Source organism: Homo sapiens, chromosome 19 (assembly GCF_000001405.40).
Source record: "Homo sapiens chromosome 19, GRCh38.p14 Primary Assembly".
Lineage (NCBI taxonomy): Eukaryota > Metazoa > Chordata > Mammalia > Primates > Hominidae > Homo > Homo sapiens.
Genome location: NC_000019.10, coordinates 8,120,277 through 8,142,467, shown reverse-complemented (window position 1 = coordinate 8,142,467; position 22,191 = coordinate 8,120,277). Strand labels below are relative to the sequence as shown.

Below are 22,191 nucleotides of genomic sequence, written 5' to 3'. Positions count from 1 at the left end.
CCCTGCCCAGGCCTGAAGGGAGGATAGGCCTGGGGAAGGAGTCCCATCAGTTCAGACAGGGTGTTCACACAGGCCCTGAGCTTTATTGGCTTGGAGGTGCTGGTCTCTTGGAAGTTGGTCAGGAAATGCTTTGAAGAAAAAGGGTTTTGAAGGGTGAATAGGAGTTCGTTAGGTAGGGAAAGGGGAGGAAAGATATTCTATTTAGTAAGGGAGCAGCATAAGTAAAGCCTGGTCTGTGGGTGCAGGGGCCGCTGAGAAGGTGTTAGAGACGCAGAGATCTCCAGACAGGGGCAGCCCTCAGCCAGGTACCCACATCTGTCTGCCCTGCAGATTACCGGACGGGACCCTGCTTTGGCCAAGTAGGCCCCGAGGGGTGCCAGCATCAGCTGACGGGCCTCGTGTGCACCAAGGCACTTTGCTGTGCCACTGTGGGCCGTGCCTGGGGCCTTCCATGTGAACTTTGCCCTGCACAGCCACACCCCTGCCGCCGCGGCTTCATCCCCAATATCCACACGGGGGCCTGCCAAGGTGAATAGTGGGGTCAGGGCTGAGTGGGAGGCCTTAGCTGCCTTGGTTCTTCCCTCCGATGGGCCTCTCACTCCCCTGCCGGGCTTTGTCCTTGCAGATGTGGATGAGTGCCAGGCTGTGCCAGGCCTGTGCCAGGGAGGCAGCTGCGTCAACATGGTGGGCTCCTTCCATTGCCGCTGTCCAGTTGGACACCGGCTCAGTGACAGCAGCGCCGCATGTGAAGGTGGGTGACTGGAGGGGGACAACCTGAGACCTCCTCTGTGACTCATGACCTGGGGGGCTCAGGCTCCCCTGCAGGAAGGCAGAGGGGTCAGGCTGGTGAGGTGCCCAGTTCTGACCTTGTCCCTGTTTATGTAGATGTGAATGAGTGTCTCAGCCTGTCCGGCCTCTGTTCTGGGGGTGACTGCACCAACACTGTCGGGAGCTACGTGTGCACCTGTTCCCAAGGTTTTGCCAGCAGCCTGGATGGCACCCACTGCCTGAGTGAACCGAGGGGCTGGAGCGGGAGAGAGTGGGTAGGAGAGAGACCCCTTGTTCAGCTGTCTGTCTCTCTCTTTTTTTTTTTTTTTTTTTTGAGACAGAGTCTCACTCTGTTACCCAGGCTGGAGTGCAGTGGTGTGATCTCAGCTCACTGCAACCTCTGCCTCCCAGTTCAAGAGATCCTCCTGCCTCAGCCTCCCAAGTAGCTGGGAGTACAGGCGCACGCCACCACGCCTAGCTAATTTTTTTTTTTTTTTTTTTTTTTGAGACGGAGTCTCGCTCTGTCGCCCAGGCTGGAGTGCAGTGGCGCGATCTCGGCTCACTGCAAGCTCCGCCTCCTGGGTTCACGCCATTCCCCTGCCTCAGCCTCCCGAGTAGCTGGGACTACAGGCGCCCGCTACCACGCCCGGATAATTTTTTTGTATTTTTTTAGTAGAGACGGGGTTTCACCGTGTTAGCCAGGATGGTCTCGATCTCCTGACCTCGTGATCCGCCCGCCTCGGCCTCCCAAAGTGCTGGGATTACAGGCGTGAGCCACCGCGCCCGGCTGGCCAACTCCAGACTTTCTAGGTCTCCACCACTGGGGGCCATCACAGCTGGCATTGGGGGTAGCTGTGGATACATCCCCTGGACTGCGGGGGGTCCTCTCTCAGCTGCTAAAGACCAGTCCTTGGATTGGACAAACCAGCCTCTGAACATAGGCTTTGGAATCAGTCTGGGGCTCCCACCCAGAGCTGCTCACAGACCCTGTGGCCTTGGGCAAGTGACTTAACCGCTCTGTGCCTCAGTTTCCCCATCTGTAAAATGGTAGATAATAGCAGTACCTAGCTCAATGAAGATTGAGTAAGATATCATTTGGGGAGTAATTTGCAGAGGGCTGGTACCTAGAGGATACTTAATACACATTCATGGACACCAGGTAATGTTGGGGCTGTGGCCACTTAGCTCACAGTATGTACTTACAGCAATGACAGGATCATTTTTGTTAAAATTCTTTTAACACATTCTTACTCTGTCCCCCAGGCTGGAGTGCAATGGCACGATCTCGGCTCACTGCAACCTCCGCCTCCGGGGTTCAAGTGATTCTCCTGCCTCAGCCTCCCCAGTAGCTGGGATTACAGGCACCCACCACCATGCCCGGCTAATTTTTGCATTTTTAGTAGAGACGGGGTTTCACTGTGTTGGCCAGGCTGGTCTCAAACTCTTGACCTCAGGTGATCCACCCGCCTCAGCCTCCCAAAGTGCTGGGATTACAGGCATGAGCCACTGTGGCTGAGCATTTTTGTTGAAATTCTTATATTCTGTCTCTCTTGCTTGAGGGACTGTTGCCTGTTGGGTCCCCTGAGATTGGGAAATCGAGTTTCCCGTCCTCCTCTTGCTTTTGCAGCTGTGTGACTTTGGAGGAGTCTGTTGATCTCTCCTCGTCTGGGCAGGCCCAGTCCCCTTTGAGGGGCTATGATAAGGCTGAGAACGAAAAACCCTGACTCCCACGCACGTACCTGGGGGGCCCCCAGGTGCAAGGGGAGGGGACCAGGGAGGTAGAAACATTTGCATGTTTTCCCAGCTCGGGGCAGGTCAGGGGTGGCTCTCAGTGGCCCTCCCAGCTGCTGGGAGGAGTTTTTTAAACTGTGGGCCACCAGCCAAGGTTTGTGCATTTTTAAGCCTAAAAATATGCTCTTTAAGCCAGAGCCTGAGAAATCTGATCGCTGCATAAAGCCATTGACCTTGAGGGCGCAGTGGGAAGTGGAAGAGTGTTGGTGGTTCTCATACCTGGGGAGCCTGTCTGCCTCAGTCACCCCGGGGGCTGTAGCCGTCAATCCACCCCTCGACTCCTTGGGGCCCCTCTCTGAAATTCACAGTCTCGTAGGCTTCTGCATAATGCCTGAAGCCAGCAAGCAAAGACACACAGCTGCAGATCTCCGTGTCCCTGCCTGGTATCCCACTGGGGTAGTCCTTCCCCGCCAATGGGTCTTCCTTAGTGTGGTTGGATGCCTGCAGCGACGGGGAGCTCACTACCTCTGTGCGATAACTTGGAATCTTGGTAACAAGAGATGGCACTGAGCGAGCATTGGCCATATGTCAAACTTTTCTATTTATTTATTTATTTATTTTTGAGGCGGAATCTTGGTCTGTGGCCCAGGCTGGAGTGCAGTGGCACAATCTTGGCTCACTACAACCTCTGCCTCCCAGGTTGAAGTGATTCTCCTGCCTCAGCCTCCCAAGTAGCTGGGATTACAGGTGTGCGCCACCGCACCCGGCTAATTTTTGTATTTTTAGTAGAGACTGGGTTTCGTCATGTTGGCCAGGCTCTTCTTGAACTCCTGACCTCATGATCTACCCGCCTCAGCCTCCCAAAGTGCTGAGATTACAGGCGTGAGCCACTGCGCCCGGCCCTTTATTTTTTTTGAGACGGAGTCTCGCTCTGTTGCCCAGGCCGGAGTGCAGTGGCATGATCTCAGCTCACTGCAATCTTTGTCTCCTGGGTTCAAGCAATTAGTGATTCTCCTGCCTCAGCCTCCCAAGTAGCTGTGATTACAAGTGCCTGCCACCACCCTTGGCTAATTTTTGTATTTTTAGTAGACATGAGGTTTCGCCATGTTGGTCAGGCTGGTCTTGCACTCCTGACCTTAAGAGATCCTCCCGCCCCAGCCTCCCAAAGTGCTGGGATTACAGGTGTGAGCTACTGCATCTGGACTATGTCAGACTTTTCATCCAGGTAATACTTTTCCCGGGTGAGGTGGATGCTCCAAGCATCCCCATTTTATGGAGAGGAAACTGAGGCACAGAGCGGCAAACAGACCCGTCCTACAGGCAGTGCTGCTACAGCTGGAATTTGGATCCAGGTCTGGTCACTGATGTCCTGTGCTCATGGGCTCACCCTCTGATCTTTTGCAGACTACCGGGCCGGCGCCTGCTTCTCAGTGCTTTTCGGGGGCCGCTGTGCTGGAGACCTCGCCGGCCACTACACTCGCAGGCAGTGCTGCTGTGACAGGGGCAGGTGCTGGGCAGCTGGCCCGGTCCCTGAGCTGTGTCCTCCTCGGGGCTCCAGTGAGTAAGAGCTGCAGCCTGCAGGGCTGTGGGTGAGGAGGGGACAGGGGAGGGCCAAGGGCCTGGCCTCAACCCTGCTTCCTTGCAGATGAATTCCAGCAACTGTGCGCCCAGCGGCTGCCGCTGCTACCCGGCCACCCTGGCCTCTTCCCTGGCCTCCTGGGCTTCGGATCCAATGGCATGGGTCCCCCTCTTGGGCCAGCGCGACTCAACCCCCATGGCTCTGATGCGCGTGGGATCCCCAGCCTGGGCCCTGGCAACTCTAATATTGGTGAGGCCTGGGGCTTGGGAGGAACATTCCAAGACTTGAAGGATGGTCCTGGATCTGGGGAGAGAGCTCCAAACAGGGGACGGTGTCCAGGCCTCAGAGAGAGGGTTAGGGCTTTGGAGGGGGAACTCCTGGCCTGGCTAGTAGGGATGACAGTGCTAGTAGTGGATGGGGATGGAGGTAACTGGAGAATCTGGTCCTCAGAGTTAGGTTTTGGGCTGGACACAGCGACTCATGCCTATAATCCCAGTACTTTGGGAGGCCGAGGTGGAAGGATCACTTGAGGCCAGGAGTTCGAGACCAGCCTGGGTGACATAGCAAGACCCTGTCTCTACAGCAAATTGAAAATTAGCTAGGTGTGGTGATGCCCACCAGTAGTCCCTGCCACTCAGGAGGAAGAGGCAGGAGGATTGCTGGAGCCCAGGAGTTGGAAGCTGCAGTGAGCTGTGATTGTGTCACTGCCCTCCAACCTGGGTGACAGAGTGAGACCCTGTCTCTAAAAATAAATAAATAAATAAATAAATAAATAAATAAGTCAGAGTTCGGGCTTTGGGTGGGGAGTTTGGGCCTGGTGTGGGGGTCTGTCATGTAGGATTTAGGCCTGGGGTGGGTTCTTGCCCCATAATGAGGATTTGGGCCCAGAGTGGGAGTCTGGGCATCTCTGGGACCAGGTTAGAGGGATCTAGGCTCCAGATTGAAGGGATCTAAGGCTCCATTTTGGAGGGATCTAGGCCCCAGGTTGGAGGGATCTAGGCTCCAGGTTGGAGGGATCTAGGCTCCAGGTTGGAGGGATCTAAGGCCCCAGGTTGGAGGGATCTAAGGCCCCAGGTTGGAGGGATCTAGGGCCCAGGTTGGAGGGATCCAGGTCCCAGGTTGGAGGGATCTAGGCTTCAGGTTGGTGGGATCTAAGCCCCAGGTTGGAGATATCTAGGCCCCAGGTTGGAGGGATCTAGACCCCAGGTTGGAGGAATCTGGGTTCCAGGTTGGAGGGATCTAGGCACCAGGTTGGAGGAATCTGGGTTCCAGGTTGGAGGGATCTAGGCACCAGGTTGGAGAGATCTAGGCCCCAGGTTGGAGGGATCCAGGTCCCAGGTTGAAGGGATCGAGGTGCCAGTTTGGAGGGATCTAGGCTTCAGGTTGGAGGGATCCAGGCCCCAGGTTGGAGGGATCCAGGCCCCAGGTTGGAGGTATCTAGACCCCAGGTTGGAGGGATCCAGGCCCAGGTTGGAGGGATCCAGGCCCCAGGTTGGAGGGATCCAGGCCCAGGTTGGAGGGATCCAGGTCCCAGGTTGGAGGGATCCAGGCCCCAGGTTGGAGGTATCTAGACCCCAGGTTGGAGGGATCCAGGCCCAGGTTGGAGGGATCCAGGCCCCAGGTTGGAGGGATCCAGGCCCAGGTTGGAGGGATCTAGGTCCCAGGTTGGAGGGATCTAGATCCCAGGTTGGAGTTCTGAATCTAAGGCAGGACTCTCCATGAGAAAGAGGGCAGGATCTGAGCCAGGGCAGGGTCCCAGCCTTAGAGGGGGTATCTGGGCCTAGAGAGGTGAAGCCCAGGCTCCAGACTGGGGCGGGGCCAGCCACTGCTCAGATGCCTCTGCCGGCCCCACCCGTAGGCACTGCTACCCTGAACCAGACCATTGACATCTGCCGACACTTCACCAACCTGTGTCTGAATGGCCGCTGCCTGCCCACGCCTTCCAGCTACCGCTGCGAGTGTAACGTGGGCTACACCCAGGACGTGCGCGGCGAGTGCATTGGTGAGCCGCGGCCAGGTGGAAGGGGGGGCGGTTCTCACTGCCCTGCTCGTGCTAGGGCTCAGGGTCCTCTCCCCTCAGATGTAGACGAATGCACCAGCAGCCCCTGCCACCACGGTGACTGCGTCAACATCCCCGGCACCTACCACTGCCGGTGCTACCCGGGCTTCCAGGCCACGCCCACCAGGCAGGCATGCGTGGGTACGGCTGTCCATCCAAGAGTAGGGGTGATGTTGTTGGGGGTTCTGGCCCAGGCTTGGAGGGTGGGGAGCACCTCTTGACTGCCCGCCTGCCTTCCCCGCAGATGTGGACGAGTGCATTGTCAGTGGTGGCCTTTGTCACCTGGGCCGCTGTGTCAACACAGAGGGCAGCTTCCAGTGTGTCTGCAATGCAGGCTTCGAGCTCAGCCCTGACGGCAAGAACTGTGTGGGTGAGTTGGGGGTGGGCGGGTGGGCAGGGGCTTCCGGGCCCCACTAGCTGCCTTTTACAGCCACCTCAAATCTTCACTGTGCCCCCAAACCCACCTCCCTCCCTACGACGTCTCCTCTGCTCACCTCTGAACCCAGCAGCCCACCTGAGACTCTTCTTATCCCCTGACCACCCTGACTCTCCCCTTCATTTCCTCCTTCCTGAATTTATTCCGTGAATCACAAAAAAGGACCTTTTGGAGCCAGTCTTGGTGCCTTATGCCTGTAATCCCAGCACTTTGCGGGGCTGAGGCAGGAGAATCTCTTGAGCTGAAAAGGTTGAGGCTGCAGTGAGCTGTGATCGTGCCCCTGCACTCCAGCCTGGCTGATAGAGCGAGACTCCATCTCCTAAAAAAAAAAAGAAGTCCGAGTGTAGTGGATCACGCCTGTAATCCCAGCACTTTGGGAGGCCGAGGTCAGGAGTTCGAGACCAGCCTGACCAACACGGTGAAACCCCATCTCTACTAAATACAAAAAAATTAGCTGGGCGTGGTGGCAGACACCTGTAATCCCAGCTACTCGGGAGGCTGAGGCAGGAGAATTGCCTGAACCCAGGAGACGGAGGCTGCAATGAGCCAAGATCACACCACTGCTCTCCAGTGTGGGTGACAGAGAGAGACTCAGTCTCAAAAAAAAAAAAATTTTTTTTTATGCCAAGCTTGGTGGCTCACAACTGTAATCCCAGTACTTTGGAAGGCAGGAGGATCGCTTGAGGCCAGGAGTTCAAGATCAGCCTGAGCAACACAGCAAGACCCTGTCTCTACAGAAAACCCAAAAATTAGCCTGGCATGGTGGCAGGTGCCTGTAGTCCCAGCTACTCAGGAGGCTGAGGCAGGAGGATCACTTGAGCCCAGGAGTTCGGGGCTGCAGTGAGCTGTGATTGCATCACTGCACTCTAGCCTAGGTGACAGACCTAGACCTTGTTTCAAAAAATATATATATATATATGTAAAATATATATATTTATATTTATTTATATATTTATTCATTTATTCATTTTGAGTCTCTATCTCCCAGGCTGGAGTGCAGTGGTGCCATCTTGGCTCACTGCAACCTCTGCTGCCCGGGTTCAAGTGATTCTCCTGCCTCAGCCTCCTGAGTAGCTGGGATTACAGGTGTGCGCCACTGTGCCCGGCTAACGTTTGTATTTTTAGTAGAGATGGGGTTTCACCATGTTGGCCAGGCTGGTCTCGAACTCCTGACCTCAGGTGATCCGCCCGCCTTGGCCTCCCAAAGTGCTGAGATTACAGGCGTGAGCCATTGCGCCCGGCCATGTATTTATTTTTTTGTGATTGGGTCTCACTGTGTTGCCTAGGCTGGACTTTAACTCATATCCCAGCAGACAGACTAATATGCAAGCAAACACAGCCACAGACAACCACAGCTTCTTTGCCTCCCACACCCCAGGGAGGGGCCCTGGGGGGCTCAAGCAATGTCCCCGCCTCAGCCACTTGAGTAGCTGGGACTACAGGCATGAGCCAGCATACCTGGCTTCTTCATTCTTTTTCATGGCCGAATAATGTTCCATTACATGAATAGACCACAGTGTGTCGATCCATTCAGTAGGACACTGGTTCGTTTTCACTTTTTGCTGTTAGGCATAATGCTTCTGTGAATGCTCATGTGCATATTTTTGTGGTGGCATTTCATGCATTTATTTATTTTATTTATTTATTTATTTTGAGATGGAGTCTCACTCTGTCACCCAGGCTGGAGTGCAGTGGCGTGATCCTGGCTCACTGCAACCTCCACCTCCCGGGTTCACATCATTCCCCTGCCTCAGCCTCCCGAGTAACTGGGACCACAGGCACCCACCACCACGCCCGGCTGATTTTTTTTTTCTTTTTTTTTTTGTATTTTTAGTAGAGATGGGGTTTCACCATGTTAGCCAGGATGGTCTCGATCTCCTGACCTCGTGATCTGCCCATCTCGGCCTCCCAAAGTGCTGGGATTACGGGCGTGAACCACCGCACCCAGCCACATTTTTTTTTTTAAATGTATGTTCAGTCCTTTATTGTTTAAAACTGACATTTTGGAAAACAACTCATTTCTGCCCCTGCCACCTTCCATTAAATTAGACCATGGTCTTACTAACTTTATTTCCATTTCCTTTTTATGAAATTGAAGTAAGATTCACACAACCTAAATTTAATCATTTAAAAGTGAACAAGAGGTTGGGCGCGGTGGCTCACGCCTGTAATCCCAGCACTTTGGGAGGACGAGGCGGGCTTATCACGAGGTCAGGAGTTCAAGACTAGCCTGGCCAACATGGTGAAACCCCGTCTCTACTAAAAATACAAAAACAATTAGCCGGGCGTGGTGGTACATGCCTGTAATCCCAGCTACTCAGGAGGCTGAAGCAGGAGAATCGCTTGAACCCGCGAGGCGGAGGTTGCAGGGAGCTGAGATCACACCACTGTGCTCCAGCCTGGGCGACAGAGCGAGACTCTGTCTCAAAAAAAAAAAAATTGTTGTCTTTTAAAAAATATTTAAACATTTTAAAATGAACAATTCACTGATATTTAATAAATTTCCAATGTTGTGCAAAAACCACCACGTTTATTCAGCTTTGAGCAATTATTTATGCAGCACCTACTGTATTGCAGCCTGAGTAAGACAGGGGTCGTGCCCCGGGGAACTCAACGTCCCAGCGGACGGACTAATATACAAGCTCACACAGTCACAGACAACCACAGCTTGTTTGCCTCCCACACTCCAGGGAGGGATCCTGGGGGGTCAGCCCTGGAGCCTGGAGGAGGGAGAGAGAGGGTCCCAGTGTGGTCCCTGCCTGGACCCAGCCTCTGCTGTTGTCCCCAGACCACAACGAGTGTGCCACCAGCACCATGTGCGTCAACGGCGTGTGTCTCAACGAGGATGGCAGCTTCTCCTGCCTCTGCAAACCCGGCTTCCTGCTGGCGCCTGGCGGCCACTACTGCATGGGTGAGCCTGGAGCCAGACTGGCCAGCGGAGGGGAGAAGGGAGATGGGGAAGCAGAGGGACGGCGAGGAAGAGGAGAGGGACCGGACGGGGATGGGACGAGCATGAGAGAAGGAGAAGAGAAGGGGCAGGGAGAAAAAGAGGAGGAGGAGGGAAAAGGGGAGAAGCGAAGAAGAAGAAAAGGAAGAAAAGAAGAGGCAGGTGCCGTGGCTCACGCCTGTAGTCCCAGCACCTTGGGAGGCCGAGGCAGATGGATCATTTGAGGTCAGGAGTTCAAGACCAGCCTGGCCAAAATGGTGAAACCCCATCTCTACTAAAAATACAAAAATTAGCCAGGTATGGTGGTGGGCACCTGTAATCCCAGCTACTTGGGAGGCTGAGGCAGGAGAATTACTTGATCCTGGGAGGTAGAGGTTGCAGTGAGCCGAGATCGCGCCATTGCACTCCAGCCTGGGTGACAAGAGTGAGACTCCGTCTCAGAAGAAAAAAAAAGTGATGCATTATAAGGTGGGGAGGGGCCAGGTTCATCTGTGATCCCAGCACTTTGGGAGGCTGAGGTTAGAGGATCACTTGAGGACAGGAGTTCGAGACCAGCCTGAGCAACATAGTCAGACGCCATTTCTACCTAAAAAAAAAATTAGCTGGGCATGGTAGCATGCACCTGTAATCCCAGCACTTTGGAAGGCTGAGGCAGAAGGATCACTTGAGCTCAGGAGTTTGAGACCAGCCTGGGCAACATGATGAGACTCCGTCTCTATAAAAAATTTTTAAAAATTAGCCGAACATGGAGATGAACCCCTGTAGTCCCTCCTACTCGGGAGGCTGAGGCAGCAGGATCACTTGAGCCCTGGAGTTGGAGGCCGCAGTGAGCTATGATCACGCCACTGCACTCCAGTCTGGAAGTCAGACCCTGCGTTTAAAAAATTTGTTTAAAGGTGGAGAGAAAGATAGAAAGATGGGGAATAATGGGAGAGGAGAAGAGGAAGGAGACAAGAGGAGGAGAGGACAGAGACACAGACAACAGGAAACTGGAAAGACAAGAAACTGGAAAGGAAAGAAATAGAATGGCTGGGAAGATGGAAATGTTGGGAGATGGGGAGGGGAGAGAGGAAGGGAGCACGCTGGAACCCATCCCCGTGCCGCCACTGCTTCTGCAGACATTGACGAGTGCCAGACGCCCGGCATCTGCGTGAACGGCCACTGTACCAACACCGAGGGCTCCTTCCGCTGCCAGTGCCTGGGGGGGCTGGCGGTAGGCACGGATGGCCGCGTGTGCGTGGACACCCACGTGCGCAGCACCTGCTATGGGGCCATCGAGAAGGGCTCCTGTGCCCGCCCCTTCCCTGGCACTGTCACCAAGTCCGAGTGCTGCTGTGCCAATCCGGACCACGGTTTTGGGGAGCCCTGCCAGCTTTGTCCTGCCAAAGACTCCGGTGAGCATCCGGCTGCCCGGTCCCCATCGCCTCCTTGGTCTGAATGCCTCCATCGGTTCTCGCTTCTGGTGGGGGGTCATGGCTGCCATGGAGTGGGGGCTCTTCCCAAAAAGAGGCTGAAGGGAGTTGCTCCCTCCCCGGGGTTGGAGTTGTGTCTTAGTCCCAAACTCTTGCCCAAGACCAGAGGGCCTCATCCTTGCCTGTGGCTGAATCCGAGCCATGGCTAAGCTCCCTGACCCGTCTCACTCTGTCCCTCCATCCCCAGCTGAGTTCCAGGCACTGTGCAGCAGTGGGCTTGGCATTACCACGGATGGTCGAGGTAAGTGGAGCCCAGCCCCTCCAAACAGCAGCCAGCCTGCCCCTACCAGATGTGGGGAGAGCTGTGGTGGGAGGCTGTAGGAGTTGGCCCGGGGTTCCCGTAACAAAGTGCCCCAGACCAGACGGCTTCAACAACAGAAGCTGATTCTCTCACACTCCTGCAGGCCAGAGGTCGGAGATCAAGGTGCGGGCAGGGCTGGTTCCCTTGGAGGCTTTGAGGGAGAATCTGTCCCGGACCTCTCTCCAGCTTCTGGTGGTGGCTCCAGCAATCTTTGGCATTTCTTGGCTCATAGAGGCGTCACCCCATCTCTGCCTCCATCTTCACATGGTGTTCTCCCTGTATGCGTGTCTGTGTCCAAAACTCCCCCCACCCTTTTTTAGAGGTGAGATCTCACTCTATTGCCCAGGCTCGAGTGATGTGGTGCAATCACGGCTCACTGCAAACTCGACCTCTTGGGCTCAAGTGATACCACCTGAGTAGCTGGGACTACAGGCACTCACCACCATGACCTGCTCATTTGTTTTTCTTCCTTTTCTTTTCTTTTCTTTTCTTTTCTTTTCTTTTCTTTTCTTTTCCTTTCCTTTCCTTTCCTTTCTTTCTTTCTTTCTTTCTTTCTTTCTTTCTTTCTTTCTTTCTTTCTTTCTTTCTTTCATTCTTTCTTTCTTTCCTTCTCTCTCTCTCTCTCTTTCTTTCTCTTTCTTTTCTTTCTTTCTTTCTTTTTTTTTTGACAGAGTCTTGCTCTGTTACCCAGGCTGGAGTGCAGTGGCGTGATCTTGGCTCACTGCAACCTCCACCTCCTGGGTTCAAGCAATTCTCCTGCCTCAGCCTCCCAAATAGCTGGGATTACAGGCATGCAGCTCCATGCCCGGCTAATTTTTGTATTTTTTTTTTTTTAGTAGAGATGAGATTTTGCCATGTTGCCCAGGCTTGTCTCAAACTTCTAGCCTCAAGTGATCCACCCACCTTGGCCTCCCAAAGTGCTGTGATTACAGACACGAGCTGCCATGCCCAGCCAATTTTTAAAACATTTACTTTATGGCCAGATGCGGTGGCTCACGCCTGTAATTCCAGCACTTTGGGAGGCTGAGGGAGGTGGATCACTTGAGGTCAGGAGTTCCACACCAGCCTGGCCAACATGGTGAAACCCCATCTCTACTAAAAATAGAAAAATTAGCCAGCCGTGGTGGCAGGCGGCTGTAATCCCAGCTACTTGGGGGGCTGAGTCATGAGAATCACTTGAACGAGGGAGGTGGAGGTTGCAGTGAGCCGAGATCGCACCACTGCACTCCAGCCTGTGCGACAGAGTGAGACCCTATCTCAAAAAAAAAAAAATTGCTTTTTATAGACATGGGTCTCGCTATGTTGCCCAGGCTGGTCTCAAACTCCTGGGCTCAAGCAATCCTCCCACCTCAGCCTCCCAAAGTGGTGGGATTATAGGTGACAGCCATCATATCTGGCCTATAATTGCTTTTATTTTTATGACAGTGCCACTGTATGGATGTCTGCTCCACTATTTCCAAACTGGAGATAATTTGGCCCCTGCCCCACCGAGGTCATTTGACAATGTCTGGAGTAATACTGGGGCGGTGGGTGCTACTGACATCTCATGGGTGGAGGCCACGGGAGCTGCTCGACATCCTAAAATGCGTGGGATGGCCCCTCACAGCAAAAAATGATCTGGCCCCAAATGTCAGCAGTGTCCAGGCTGAGAAACCTCGGTTTAGAGCAGAATGAGGCCGGGTCTGGGCTGGAGCTATGGCCTTGGGGAATCTGACTTCTAGAGACCCCTGGTGCGCCGCGACACACCCTCCTCCTGCCTCGGACACACCCTCCTTCTGCTGCTGCTGACACACCCTCCTCCTGCCGCAGACATCAACGAGTGTGCTCTGGATCCTGAGGTTTGTGCCAATGGCGTGTGCGAGAACCTTCGGGGCAGCTACCGCTGTGTCTGCAACCTGGGTTATGAGGCAGGTGCCTCAGGCAAGGACTGCACAGGTGAGCATGCCACCTGGCGGGCGGATGTGTGGGCAGCCTCTCCCACTGCAGACCCCTCACCCCTCTCTCCCACCCCCACCCCACAGACGTGGATGAGTGTGCCCTCAACAGCCTCCTGTGTGACAACGGGTGGTGCCAGAATAGCCCTGGCAGCTACAGCTGCTCCTGCCCCCCCGGCTTCCACTTCTGGCAGGACACGGAGATCTGCAAAGGTACTGGGTCCCGGGCTCACGTGGGTTTGCACACACACATATGCTCCAACATACTTGGCATGTGGCGTGTGCACGCACAGGCATGCACACGCTCAAAGATGCTTACATGTTACCTCTATTCACACACGCATGCTATATGTAGTGTGCACACACACATATATGCACACGCTCAGATACTCACATGTTGCATGAGGTGTGTACACAAGACACACATGCACACGCTCAGAAACATCCTGTACACAACCACACTCAGACATGCACGTTGCATGTGTCATGCATACATACACCCAGACACGCTGCACATGCCGTGTATACACAGACACACATTCAGACATGCTGTGTGCATGTGTACACAGACATGCATACTCAAAGACACTTGCATATGTACCTACATTCACACATACACACTCAAAGACACATATATACTCACATTTACATACACACGTATTCTTTTTTTTTTTTTTTGAGACAGAGTCTTGCTCTATCACCCAGGCTGGAGTGCAGTGGCACGATCTCAGCTCACTGCAACCTCTGCCTCCTAGTTCAAGCGATTCTCCTGCCTCAGCCTCCCAAGTAGCTGGGATTACAGGCGTCCGTCACCAAGCCCAGATAATTTTTGTATTTTTAGTAGAGACAGGGTTTCACCATGTTCGCCAGGCTGGTCTCGAACTCCTGACCTCAAGTGATCCACCTGCTTCAGCCTCCCAAAGTGCTGGGATTATAGGCGCGAGCCACTACACCTGGCCCATACACTCATTCTCACACTTCCCACACTTGCAGTCCCAGTCACACATGGTTGTACACACTCAGGGGCACACAGTTATACACACATCCCAGAAGTCCTACTCGAACTACAGAGTTTGGAGAGCTTCTAGGTGGATGGACATATCTGTGTGCTGGCAGGGCGGCATGCCGAGAGCAGGCACGGAAGTTCCACATCTCCTCCCAGATACCCTGCACCGTGCATCTCTTCCATCTGGCTGTTCATCATTTGTAATATCCTTTATTTTTTTTATTTTATCTTTTTGAGACAGAGTCTCGCTCTGTCACCCAGGCTGGAGTGCAATGGGGCGATCTCGGCTCACTGCAACCTCCACCTCCTGGGTTCAAGCAATTCTCCCGCCGTTTAAGAGATTATCCTGTCTCTGCCTCCCAAGTAGCCCGGACTACAGGCGTGTGCCATCACGCCCAGCTAATTTGTATTTTTAATAGAGATGGTGTTTCATCGTGTTGGCCAGGCTGGTCTCGAACTCCTGACCTCAGTGATCCACCCGCCTCTGCCTCCCAAAGAGGTGGGATGACAGGCGTAAGCCACAGCGCCCAGCCTGTGATATCCTTTATAATAAACTAGTAAACGTAAGTTAAGTATTTCCCTGAGTCCTGTGAGCCCCTCTAGCGGATGATCAAGCCCGAGGAGAAGGCAGAAATTCTGGAGGCCCCGATTTGCAACTGGCATCTGGTGTGGAAGACAGTCTTGTGGGACTGAGCCCTCAACCTGTGGAGTCAGACTTTAACTCCAGGCAGAAAGCGTCAGAATTGAATTATAGGGCACCCTGCTGGTGTCGGAGAATTGGGCAGCTTGGCAAAAGCAAACAAACAAAAAACCCCATGTCTGATCACTGATGTATTCTGTGTTGTGTTGAAGGTGAGAGTAAGAATACAGTTTTGGCTGGGTGCAGTGACTCACGCCTATAATCCCAGCACTTTGGGAGGCTGAGGCGGGCGGACCACCTGAGGTTGGGAGTTTGAGACCAGCCTGGCCAACATCATGAAATCCTGTCTCTACTAAAAATACAAAAAAAGTTAGCCAGGCATGGTGGCACATGCCTGTAGTCCCAGCTACTTGGGAGGCTGAGGCACGAGAATCGCTTGAACCCGGGAGACGGAGGTTGCAGTGAGCCGGGATGGTGCCACTGCACTCCAACCTGGGTGACAGAGCGAGACTCTGTCTCAAAAAAAAAAAAAAAACAAAAAAAAAACAGTTTGGCATTTCCTGTCTCTTACAGCATGTACACACACAGCTCAGCACACACATGTGCTTGCATGCACATTTGATTCCAGTGCCCTCTGCATGCTTGTGCATCTGGGTGCACCCCGTGCCACCGGTTGCGGCGGCCCCTTGGGGAGGAGGGGTCCTGGCCAGGTAAGGCAACTCCTCCTGCAGCTCAGGACCTGGTGGGGGGCTGTCCCCACAGATGTCGACGAATGCCTGTCCAGCCCGTGTGTGAGTGGCGTCTGTCGGAACCTGGCCGGCTCCTACACCTGCAAATGTGGCCCTGGCAGCCGGCTGGACCCCTCTGGTACCTTCTGTCTAGGTGAGCGGCCCCGGAGCCCGACGGCGTTCCAGAGGCTGGGCGTCTATGGGTCAGGGTGCAGGTGTAGGGCCGGCAGGTGAGACAGGTGACCCGCCTCTTCTCCCCAGACAGCACCAAGGGCACCTGCTGGCTGAAGATCCAGGAGAGCCGCTGTGAGGTGAACCTTCAGGGAGCCAGCCTGCGGTCTGAGTGCTGCGCCACCCTCGGGGCAGCCTGGGGGAGCCCCTGCGAACGCTGCGAGATCGGTAGTATCCTCCTTGAGGCCTCCCAGGCACCCATGGGAAAAGCCCTCCATGGGGCGGGTCCCCCCTTGGGCTGGCATGAGAAAATGACTCCTCTCTTCACTCTTGTTCTCCCAGTTGCAGACCCTGCCTGTGCCCGGGGCTTTGCCCGGATGACGGGTGTCACCTGCGATGGTAACTGCCTGCCCGTGTCCAGCTCACCCCCTACTCCAGAGCCCGCACACAACCAGGCGCACCACCCTCATGGGTGCCACCTCCGGCCCCGCCCTGGAGTCTTTTGCGATGGGGACAGACGTTCTCCCTACCTGGTCCCCAGGCCTTCTTGAAAGTCCCCAGTCCCCGTGTCCCCGTCCCCTTCCTTCCTCCTCAAGGACAACTTGAGACCCCAGGGGAATGGCCAGCCAGCACCCTTCCCCTCCCTGGACCCTCCGGCTTTCCCTCCTCCTTACCCAGATGTGAACGAGTGTGAGTCCTTCCCGGGAGTCTGTCCCAACGGGCGTTGCGTCAACACTGCTGGGTCTTTCCGCTGTGAGTGTCCAGAGGGCCTGATGCTGGACGCCTCAGGCCGGCTGTGCGTGGGTGAGTCCAGGCGAGGTCCGCATACAGGGCCACACGTTCTTCCTTTGTTCCCTCCACCCGCAGTGACTTGAGGAACAGGAGAGATTTTTTTTTTTTTTTTTGAGATGGAGTCTCGCTCTGTCGCCCAGGCTGGAGTGCAGTGGCGCAATCTCGGCTCACTGTAACTTCCGCCTCCCGGGTTCAAGCGATTCTCCTGCCTCAGCCTCCTGAGTAGCTGGGATTACAGGCACATACCACCACGCCCAGCTAATTTTTGTATTTTTAGTAGAGATGGGGTTTCACCATGTTGGCTAGGATGGTCTCGAACTTCTGACCTCAGGTGATCTGCCCGCCTCGGCCTCCCAAAGTGTTGGGATTACAGGCGTGAGCCACCACGCCTGGCCTGAACAGGAGAGATTTCAGGCATCCTTTGGGATCCTCTGCCTCTGGCTAACATATCATGAAAGACATTTGGGTGGGTTTTTTTTTCTTTTTTCTTGAGACAGGGTCTCACTCTGTCACCCAGGCAGGAGTGCAGTGGCGCAATCTCATCTCACTACAACTTGCACTTCCTGGGTTCAACTGATTTTTGTACCTTGATCTCCTGAGCAGCTGGGACTACAGGTGTGCACCACCACACCCGCTAATTTATTTATTTATTGGTATATCTATATATATTTTTGTAGGGACAGGGTCTCACTCTCTTGCCTAGGCTGGTCTCAAACTCCTGGCCTCAAGGGATCCCCCTACCTCAGCATCCCGGAGTGCTGGAAGTCCAGCCAGGATTTATCTTTGAGGACAGTATTAGGTTCACAGCAAATATGAACACATAGCCCCCACCTCCACACACGTACAGCCTCCCCAACTCTCAACATCTTGCACTGGGGTTAGAAGGTGCATTTGTTACGATGGATGAAACTGCACGGGTACAGCATTGTCATCTCTAAGTCCATAGAGCACCTTAGGGTTTACCCTTGGTGTATTGGACATTCTATGGGTTTGGACGAACGTATAATGACGTATGTTCACCATTGTAGTGTCATACAGGGTAGTTTCTCTGCCCTAAAAATCCTTAGTGGCCGGGCATGGTGGCTCACGCCTGTAATGCCAGCACTTTGGGAGGCCGAGGCAGGTGGATTGCTTGAGGTTAGGAGTTCAAGACCAGCCTGGTAAACATGGTGAAACCCCATCTCTACTAAAATACAAAAATTAGGTGAGCGTGGTAGCGGTGTCTGTAATCCCAGCTACTCGGGAGGCTGAGGCAGGAGAATCGCTTGAACCCGGGAGGCGGAGGTTGCAGTGAGCTGAGATTGTGCCGCTGCACTACAGCCTGGGGGACAGAGCAAGACTCCGTCTAAAAAAAAAAAAAAAAATTGGCCAGGCACGGTAGCTCACACCTGTAATCCCAGCACTTTGGGAGGCTGAGGCGGGCAGATCACTTGAGTTCGAGATCAGCCTGGCCAACGTGGTGAAACCGAGTCTCTACTAAAAAATAACAAAAGTCAGCCGGGTGTGGTGGCACACACCTGTAATCCCAGCTCCTCGGGAGGCTGAGGCCGGAGAATTGCTTGAACCTGGGAGGTGGAGGTTATGGTGAGCTGAGATTGTGCCACTGCACTCCAGCCTGAGTGACAGAGCAAGACTATGTCTCAAAAGAAATCAATCAACCAATGAATCAATCACGTAAAAAAAATATGGATAGAGGGGCTTAGAACAGTGCTACAGAACAGTACACATAGTACCCTCCCAGACAGTGCCTGGAGGAAGTCACCCCTTTCCACTCTGGCCCTCGACCTGACTACGTCCGGGAGAAAGTTTCCGATGGGAGTGACTGAGCGGCACGCCTGTCCCGCAGTGGGCACAGTGTGGCAGGGGTGGGGACGCAGTGACTGTCCCCCGTGCAGATGTGAGATTGGAACCATGTTTCCTGCGATGGGATGAGGATGAGTGTGGGGTCACCCTGCCTGGCAAGTACCGGATGGACGTCTGCTGCTGCTCCATCGGGGCCGTGTGGGGAGTCGAGTGCGAGGCCTGCCCGGATCCCGAGTCTCTGGAGTTCGCCAGCCTGTGCCCGCGGGGGCTGGGCTTCGCCAGCCGGGACTTCCTGTCTGGCCGACCATTCTATAAAGGTGCGGTTGGGGAAGGGGTCAGGCCCCTGGAAGGATGGGGAGGGGCACGGCATAGGCAAAAGCCTGGAGATGGGAAGTGTGTTTGGGGGAAAAGGGGATGTGGGTAAGGCGAGGCACTAAGAACCCAGGGAGGGCTTGGTGTATGGATCCTGAGCTTGGGGACGTCAGGGTGGTTTGATGCCCCTGTACTTCAGATGTGAATGAATGCAAGGTGTTCCCTGGCCTCTGCACGCACGGTACCTGCAGAAACACGGTGGGCAGCTTCCACTGCGCCTGTGCGGGGGGCTTCGCCCTGGATGCCCAGGAACGGAACTGCACAGGTAGGTGCCACCTCTGCCTCTTGGAGAGAGCGTGATCCTTGGCAGGGATAGGGGCCTCAAATAAGACGTAGAGACAACACCTGTTCTTTTTCTTCTTCTTTTTTTTTTCGAGACGGAGTTTTACTCTTGTTATCCAGGCTGGAGTGCAATGGCACGATCTCGGCTCACTGCAACCTCCGCCTCCCAGGTTCAAGCGACTCTCCTGCCTCAGCCTCCTAAGTAGCTGGGATTACAGGCATGTGCCACCATGCCTGGCTAATTTTGTATTTTTCAGTAGTGATAGTGTTTCTCCGTGTTGGTCAGGCTGGACTTGAACTCCCGACCTCAGGTGATCCGCCCACCTCGGCCTCCCAAAGTGCTGGGATTACAGGTGTGAGCCACTGTGCCTGGCGAACACCTGTTCTTTGGGCACTTCTTGTGTCTGCCTCTGTGCTGTGTGACCTAGGGCAGGTGATTGCCCTCCTTGGGCTGCAGGGACCCTGACTATAAAAGAAGGGGCTGGGCTGGGCGCGGTGGCTCACATTTGTAATCCCAGCACTTTGGGAGGCTGAGGCGGGCGGATCACGATGTCAGGAGATCGAGACCATCCTGGCTAACACGGTGAAACCCTGTCTCTACTAAAAATACAAAAATTAGCCCAGCGTGGTGGCAGGCACCTGTAGTCCCAGCTACTCGGGAGGCTGAGGCAGGAGAATGGCGTGAACCCGGGATGCAGAGCTTGCAGTGAGCTGAGATCATGCCACTGCACTCCAGCCTGGGCGACAGAGACTCCATCTCAAAAAAAAAAGGGGGCGCTGGGCCAGGTGCGATGGATCACACCTGTAATCCCAGCACTTTGGGAGGCCAAGGCAGATGGATCACTTGAGGTCAAGAGTTCGAGACCAGCCTGGCCAACATGGCAATACCCCGTCTCTACTAAAGATACAAAAATTAGCTGGGCCTGGTGGCGGGCGCCTGTAATCCCAGCTACTCGGGAGGCCGAGGCAGGAGAATCACTTGAACCCGGGAGGCGGAGGTTGCAGTAAGCCAAGATTGTGCCATTGCACTCCAGCCTGGGTGACAGAACGAGACTGTGTCTCAAATATAAATAAATAAGTAAATAAAACATAAAAGAAGGGGCTGGCAAAGGTGACCTTTAGAGGCCTCCAGGGCCAGCATGGTGGCTCACGCCTGTGATCCCAGCACTTTTGGAGGCCAAGGTGGGAGGATTGCTTGAGCCCAAGAGTTTGAGACTATCCTGGGTAACACAGCGAGACCTCCATCTCTGCAAAAAATAAAAAAATTATTATTGCATTAACTGTAGTCCCAGCTATTCGAGAGGCTGAGGTAGAAGGATCCCTTGAGGCCCTGGGAGGTTGAGGCTGCAGTGAGCTGTGATCACACCACTGCACTCCAGCCTGAGTGAAAAACAAACAGGCCAGGCTCAGTGGCTCACACCTATAATCCTAGCACTTTGGGAGGCCAAGGCGGGTGGACTGCTTTAGGTCAGGAGTTTGAGACCAGCCTGGCCAACATGGCGAAACACCATCTCTACTAAAAATACAAAATTAGCCGGGCATGGTGGCACACACCTGTAATCCCAGCTACTCGGGAGGCTGAGGCAGGAGAATCGCTTGATCCTGGGAGGCAGAAGTTGCAGTGAGCCGAGATTGCATCACTGCACTCCATCCTGGGTGACAGAGCAAGACTCTGTCTCTAAAAAAGTAAATAAATAAATAAGTAATAAAAATAAAATAAAATAAAACAAACAAACAAATCTACCATCAAAATAAAGAAAATGGAGAACTCCCGTCTGTGAGAAAACTGCCTGCCCTTGTCATGTTTAGTTTGGGGTTCCTCCATTTCCTCGGCTCCTTTTGGGGGCTTCTGTTCTGCCTGTCATATCTACAGATTCGATGACCCCATACGGCACCCCATCATGCCTGCATCATGCCTCCCCTCTTGGCCTGTGCCTCCTTATGTCTGCAGATGGGCTTCCTCTAGCCCACACCTCCATCAAAGGACAGGGACCCCCCTGCCTCGTGCCCCATGATGCGGCCCACATGGCGCCTCCGGCCTCTGCCCCCTCTCCCCACAGATATCGACGAGTGTCGCATCTCTCCTGACCTCTGCGGCCAGGGCACCTGTGTCAACACGCCGGGCAGCTTTGAGTGCGAGTGTTTTCCCGGCTACGAGAGTGGCTTCATGCTGATGAAGAACTGCATGGGTCGGTGACTGCCGGGCAGGGGTGTGGTGGGCGCCCTGGGCAGGGAGGGCATTGAGGAGAGGGAGGGTGGGGACGGCTGTTGCTGTGTGGACGTGGATGGAGGGGGCAGGAGGAGGGAGGAGCTGTAAATTAGCTGAGGTACAGTGAGTCTGGGCTCCATGAGGCCTCGTCCTTAGGAGAGAGACCTGGGGCCTGAGACCTGGGGGTGGCCGGCACACTGGGGTGTGGTCTCCCAGGGAGGGTGTGTAGCTTGGGTAGAGGACAGGGACCCTCAGAGAAGCCTGGGAAATACTGCCGGTTATGAGGCCTCTCGTCCCCATCATTGACTTCGTTATTCATTTGATGAGCATTTCACATGCATCCTCTGAGCTAGAGGCACTGCAGGGAGCTCTAGCTCCAGGGAGCCCTCTTTCCTTGGAGCTCACAGCCTAACAGGAAGACAGACATGAATAACATGAATCGCTGAGGAAATGCAAAACTGGGCTGGGTGCAGTGGCCCTCGCCTGTAATCCCAGCATTTTGAGAGGCTGAGGCAGTAGGATTGCTTGAGTCCAGGAGTTCGAGGCCAGCCTGGGCAACATAACAAGACCCTGTCACTATAAAGTTTTTTAAAAATTAGCTAGGCATGGTGGCGCGTGCTACTCGGGAGGCTGAGGAGGGAGGATCCCTTGAGCCCAGGAGGTTGAGGCTGCAGTGAACCATAATCGCACTTTTGCACTCCAGCCTGGGTGACAGAGTGAGACCCTGTCTAAAGAAAAAAGGAAGGAAGGAAGGAAGGAAGAGGAAAAAGCCAGGCATGGTGGCTCATGCCTGTAATCCCAGCACTTTGGGAGGCTGAGGTGGGCAGATTGCCTGAGTTCAGGAGTTTGAAACCAGCCTGGGCAACATGGTGAAACCCCGTCTCTATTAAAATACAAAAAATTAGCTGGGTGTGGTGGCGTGCACCTGTAGGTCCAGCTACTCAGGAGGCTGAGGCAGGAG

At 54.3% G+C, this 22,191-nt stretch overlaps 1 protein-coding gene across 9 annotated transcripts in view, besides 4 other annotated features; it reads left to right on the top strand.

The window, feature by feature from the left end:
* The window catches only part of FBN3 (fibrillin 3), an 84,191-nt gene that overhangs the window by 7,125 nt on the left and 54,875 nt on the right, over window positions 1-22,191 (top strand). For 7 of the 9 annotated variants that reach the window (NM_032447.5, XM_017027372.2, XM_017027374.3 and 4 more), the window contains 19 exons: window positions 331-528; window positions 626-751; window positions 3,904-4,056; window positions 4,145-4,327; window positions 5,937-6,080; window positions 6,159-6,278; window positions 6,382-6,507; window positions 9,362-9,484; window positions 10,639-10,914; window positions 11,180-11,233; window positions 13,103-13,228; window positions 13,315-13,440; window positions 15,636-15,755; window positions 15,863-16,000; window positions 16,121-16,171; window positions 16,451-16,576; window positions 18,460-18,684; window positions 18,879-19,004; window positions 21,082-21,210. In NM_032447.5, the coding sequence (NP_115823.3) occupies window positions 331-528; window positions 626-751; window positions 3,904-4,056; window positions 4,145-4,327; window positions 5,937-6,080; window positions 6,159-6,278; window positions 6,382-6,507; window positions 9,362-9,484; window positions 10,639-10,914; window positions 11,180-11,233; window positions 13,103-13,228; window positions 13,315-13,440; window positions 15,636-15,755; window positions 15,863-16,000; window positions 16,121-16,171; window positions 16,451-16,576; window positions 18,460-18,684; window positions 18,879-19,004; window positions 21,082-21,210 (2,670 nt within the window). Of the gene's footprint in view, window positions 1-330; window positions 529-625; window positions 752-885; window positions 1,012-3,903; window positions 4,057-4,144; window positions 4,328-5,936; window positions 6,081-6,158; window positions 6,279-6,381; window positions 6,508-9,361; window positions 9,485-10,638; window positions 10,915-11,179; window positions 11,234-13,102; window positions 13,229-13,314; window positions 13,441-15,635; window positions 15,756-15,862; window positions 16,001-16,120; window positions 16,172-16,450; window positions 16,577-18,459; window positions 18,685-18,878; window positions 19,005-21,081; window positions 21,211-22,191 lie in introns of those variants that run through there. The other 2 variants (XM_017027379.2, XM_017027377.3) reach the window with 2 other exon arrangements.
* Window positions 556-1,057: an enhancer, noted in NCBI's record as "H3K4me1 hESC enhancer chr19:8206295-8206796 (GRCh37/hg19 assembly coordinates)". NCBI's record gives its function as "activates a minimal SCP1, AML or CMV promoter by ChIP-STARR-seq in naive H9 embryonic stem cells {active_cell/tissue: H9 hESC(naive)}" and the evidence as "EXISTENCE:reporter gene assay evidence [ECO:0000049][PMID:30033119]".
* Window positions 13,160-13,661: an enhancer, noted in NCBI's record as "H3K4me1 hESC enhancer chr19:8193691-8194192 (GRCh37/hg19 assembly coordinates)". NCBI's record gives its function as "activates a minimal SCP1, AML or CMV promoter by ChIP-STARR-seq in naive H9 embryonic stem cells {active_cell/tissue: H9 hESC(naive)}" and the evidence as "EXISTENCE:reporter gene assay evidence [ECO:0000049][PMID:30033119]".
* Window positions 20,823-21,413: an enhancer, noted in NCBI's record as "OCT4-NANOG-H3K27ac-H3K4me1 hESC enhancer chr19:8185939-8186529 (GRCh37/hg19 assembly coordinates)". NCBI's record gives its function as "activates a minimal SCP1, AML or CMV promoter by ChIP-STARR-seq in primed H9 embryonic stem cells {active_cell/tissue: H9 hESC(primed)}" and the evidence as "EXISTENCE:reporter gene assay evidence [ECO:0000049][PMID:30033119]".
* Window positions 21,414-22,004: an enhancer, noted in NCBI's record as "OCT4-NANOG-H3K27ac-H3K4me1 hESC enhancer chr19:8185348-8185938 (GRCh37/hg19 assembly coordinates)". NCBI's record gives its function as "activates a minimal SCP1, AML or CMV promoter by ChIP-STARR-seq in naive H9 embryonic stem cells {active_cell/tissue: H9 hESC(naive)}" and the evidence as "EXISTENCE:reporter gene assay evidence [ECO:0000049][PMID:30033119]".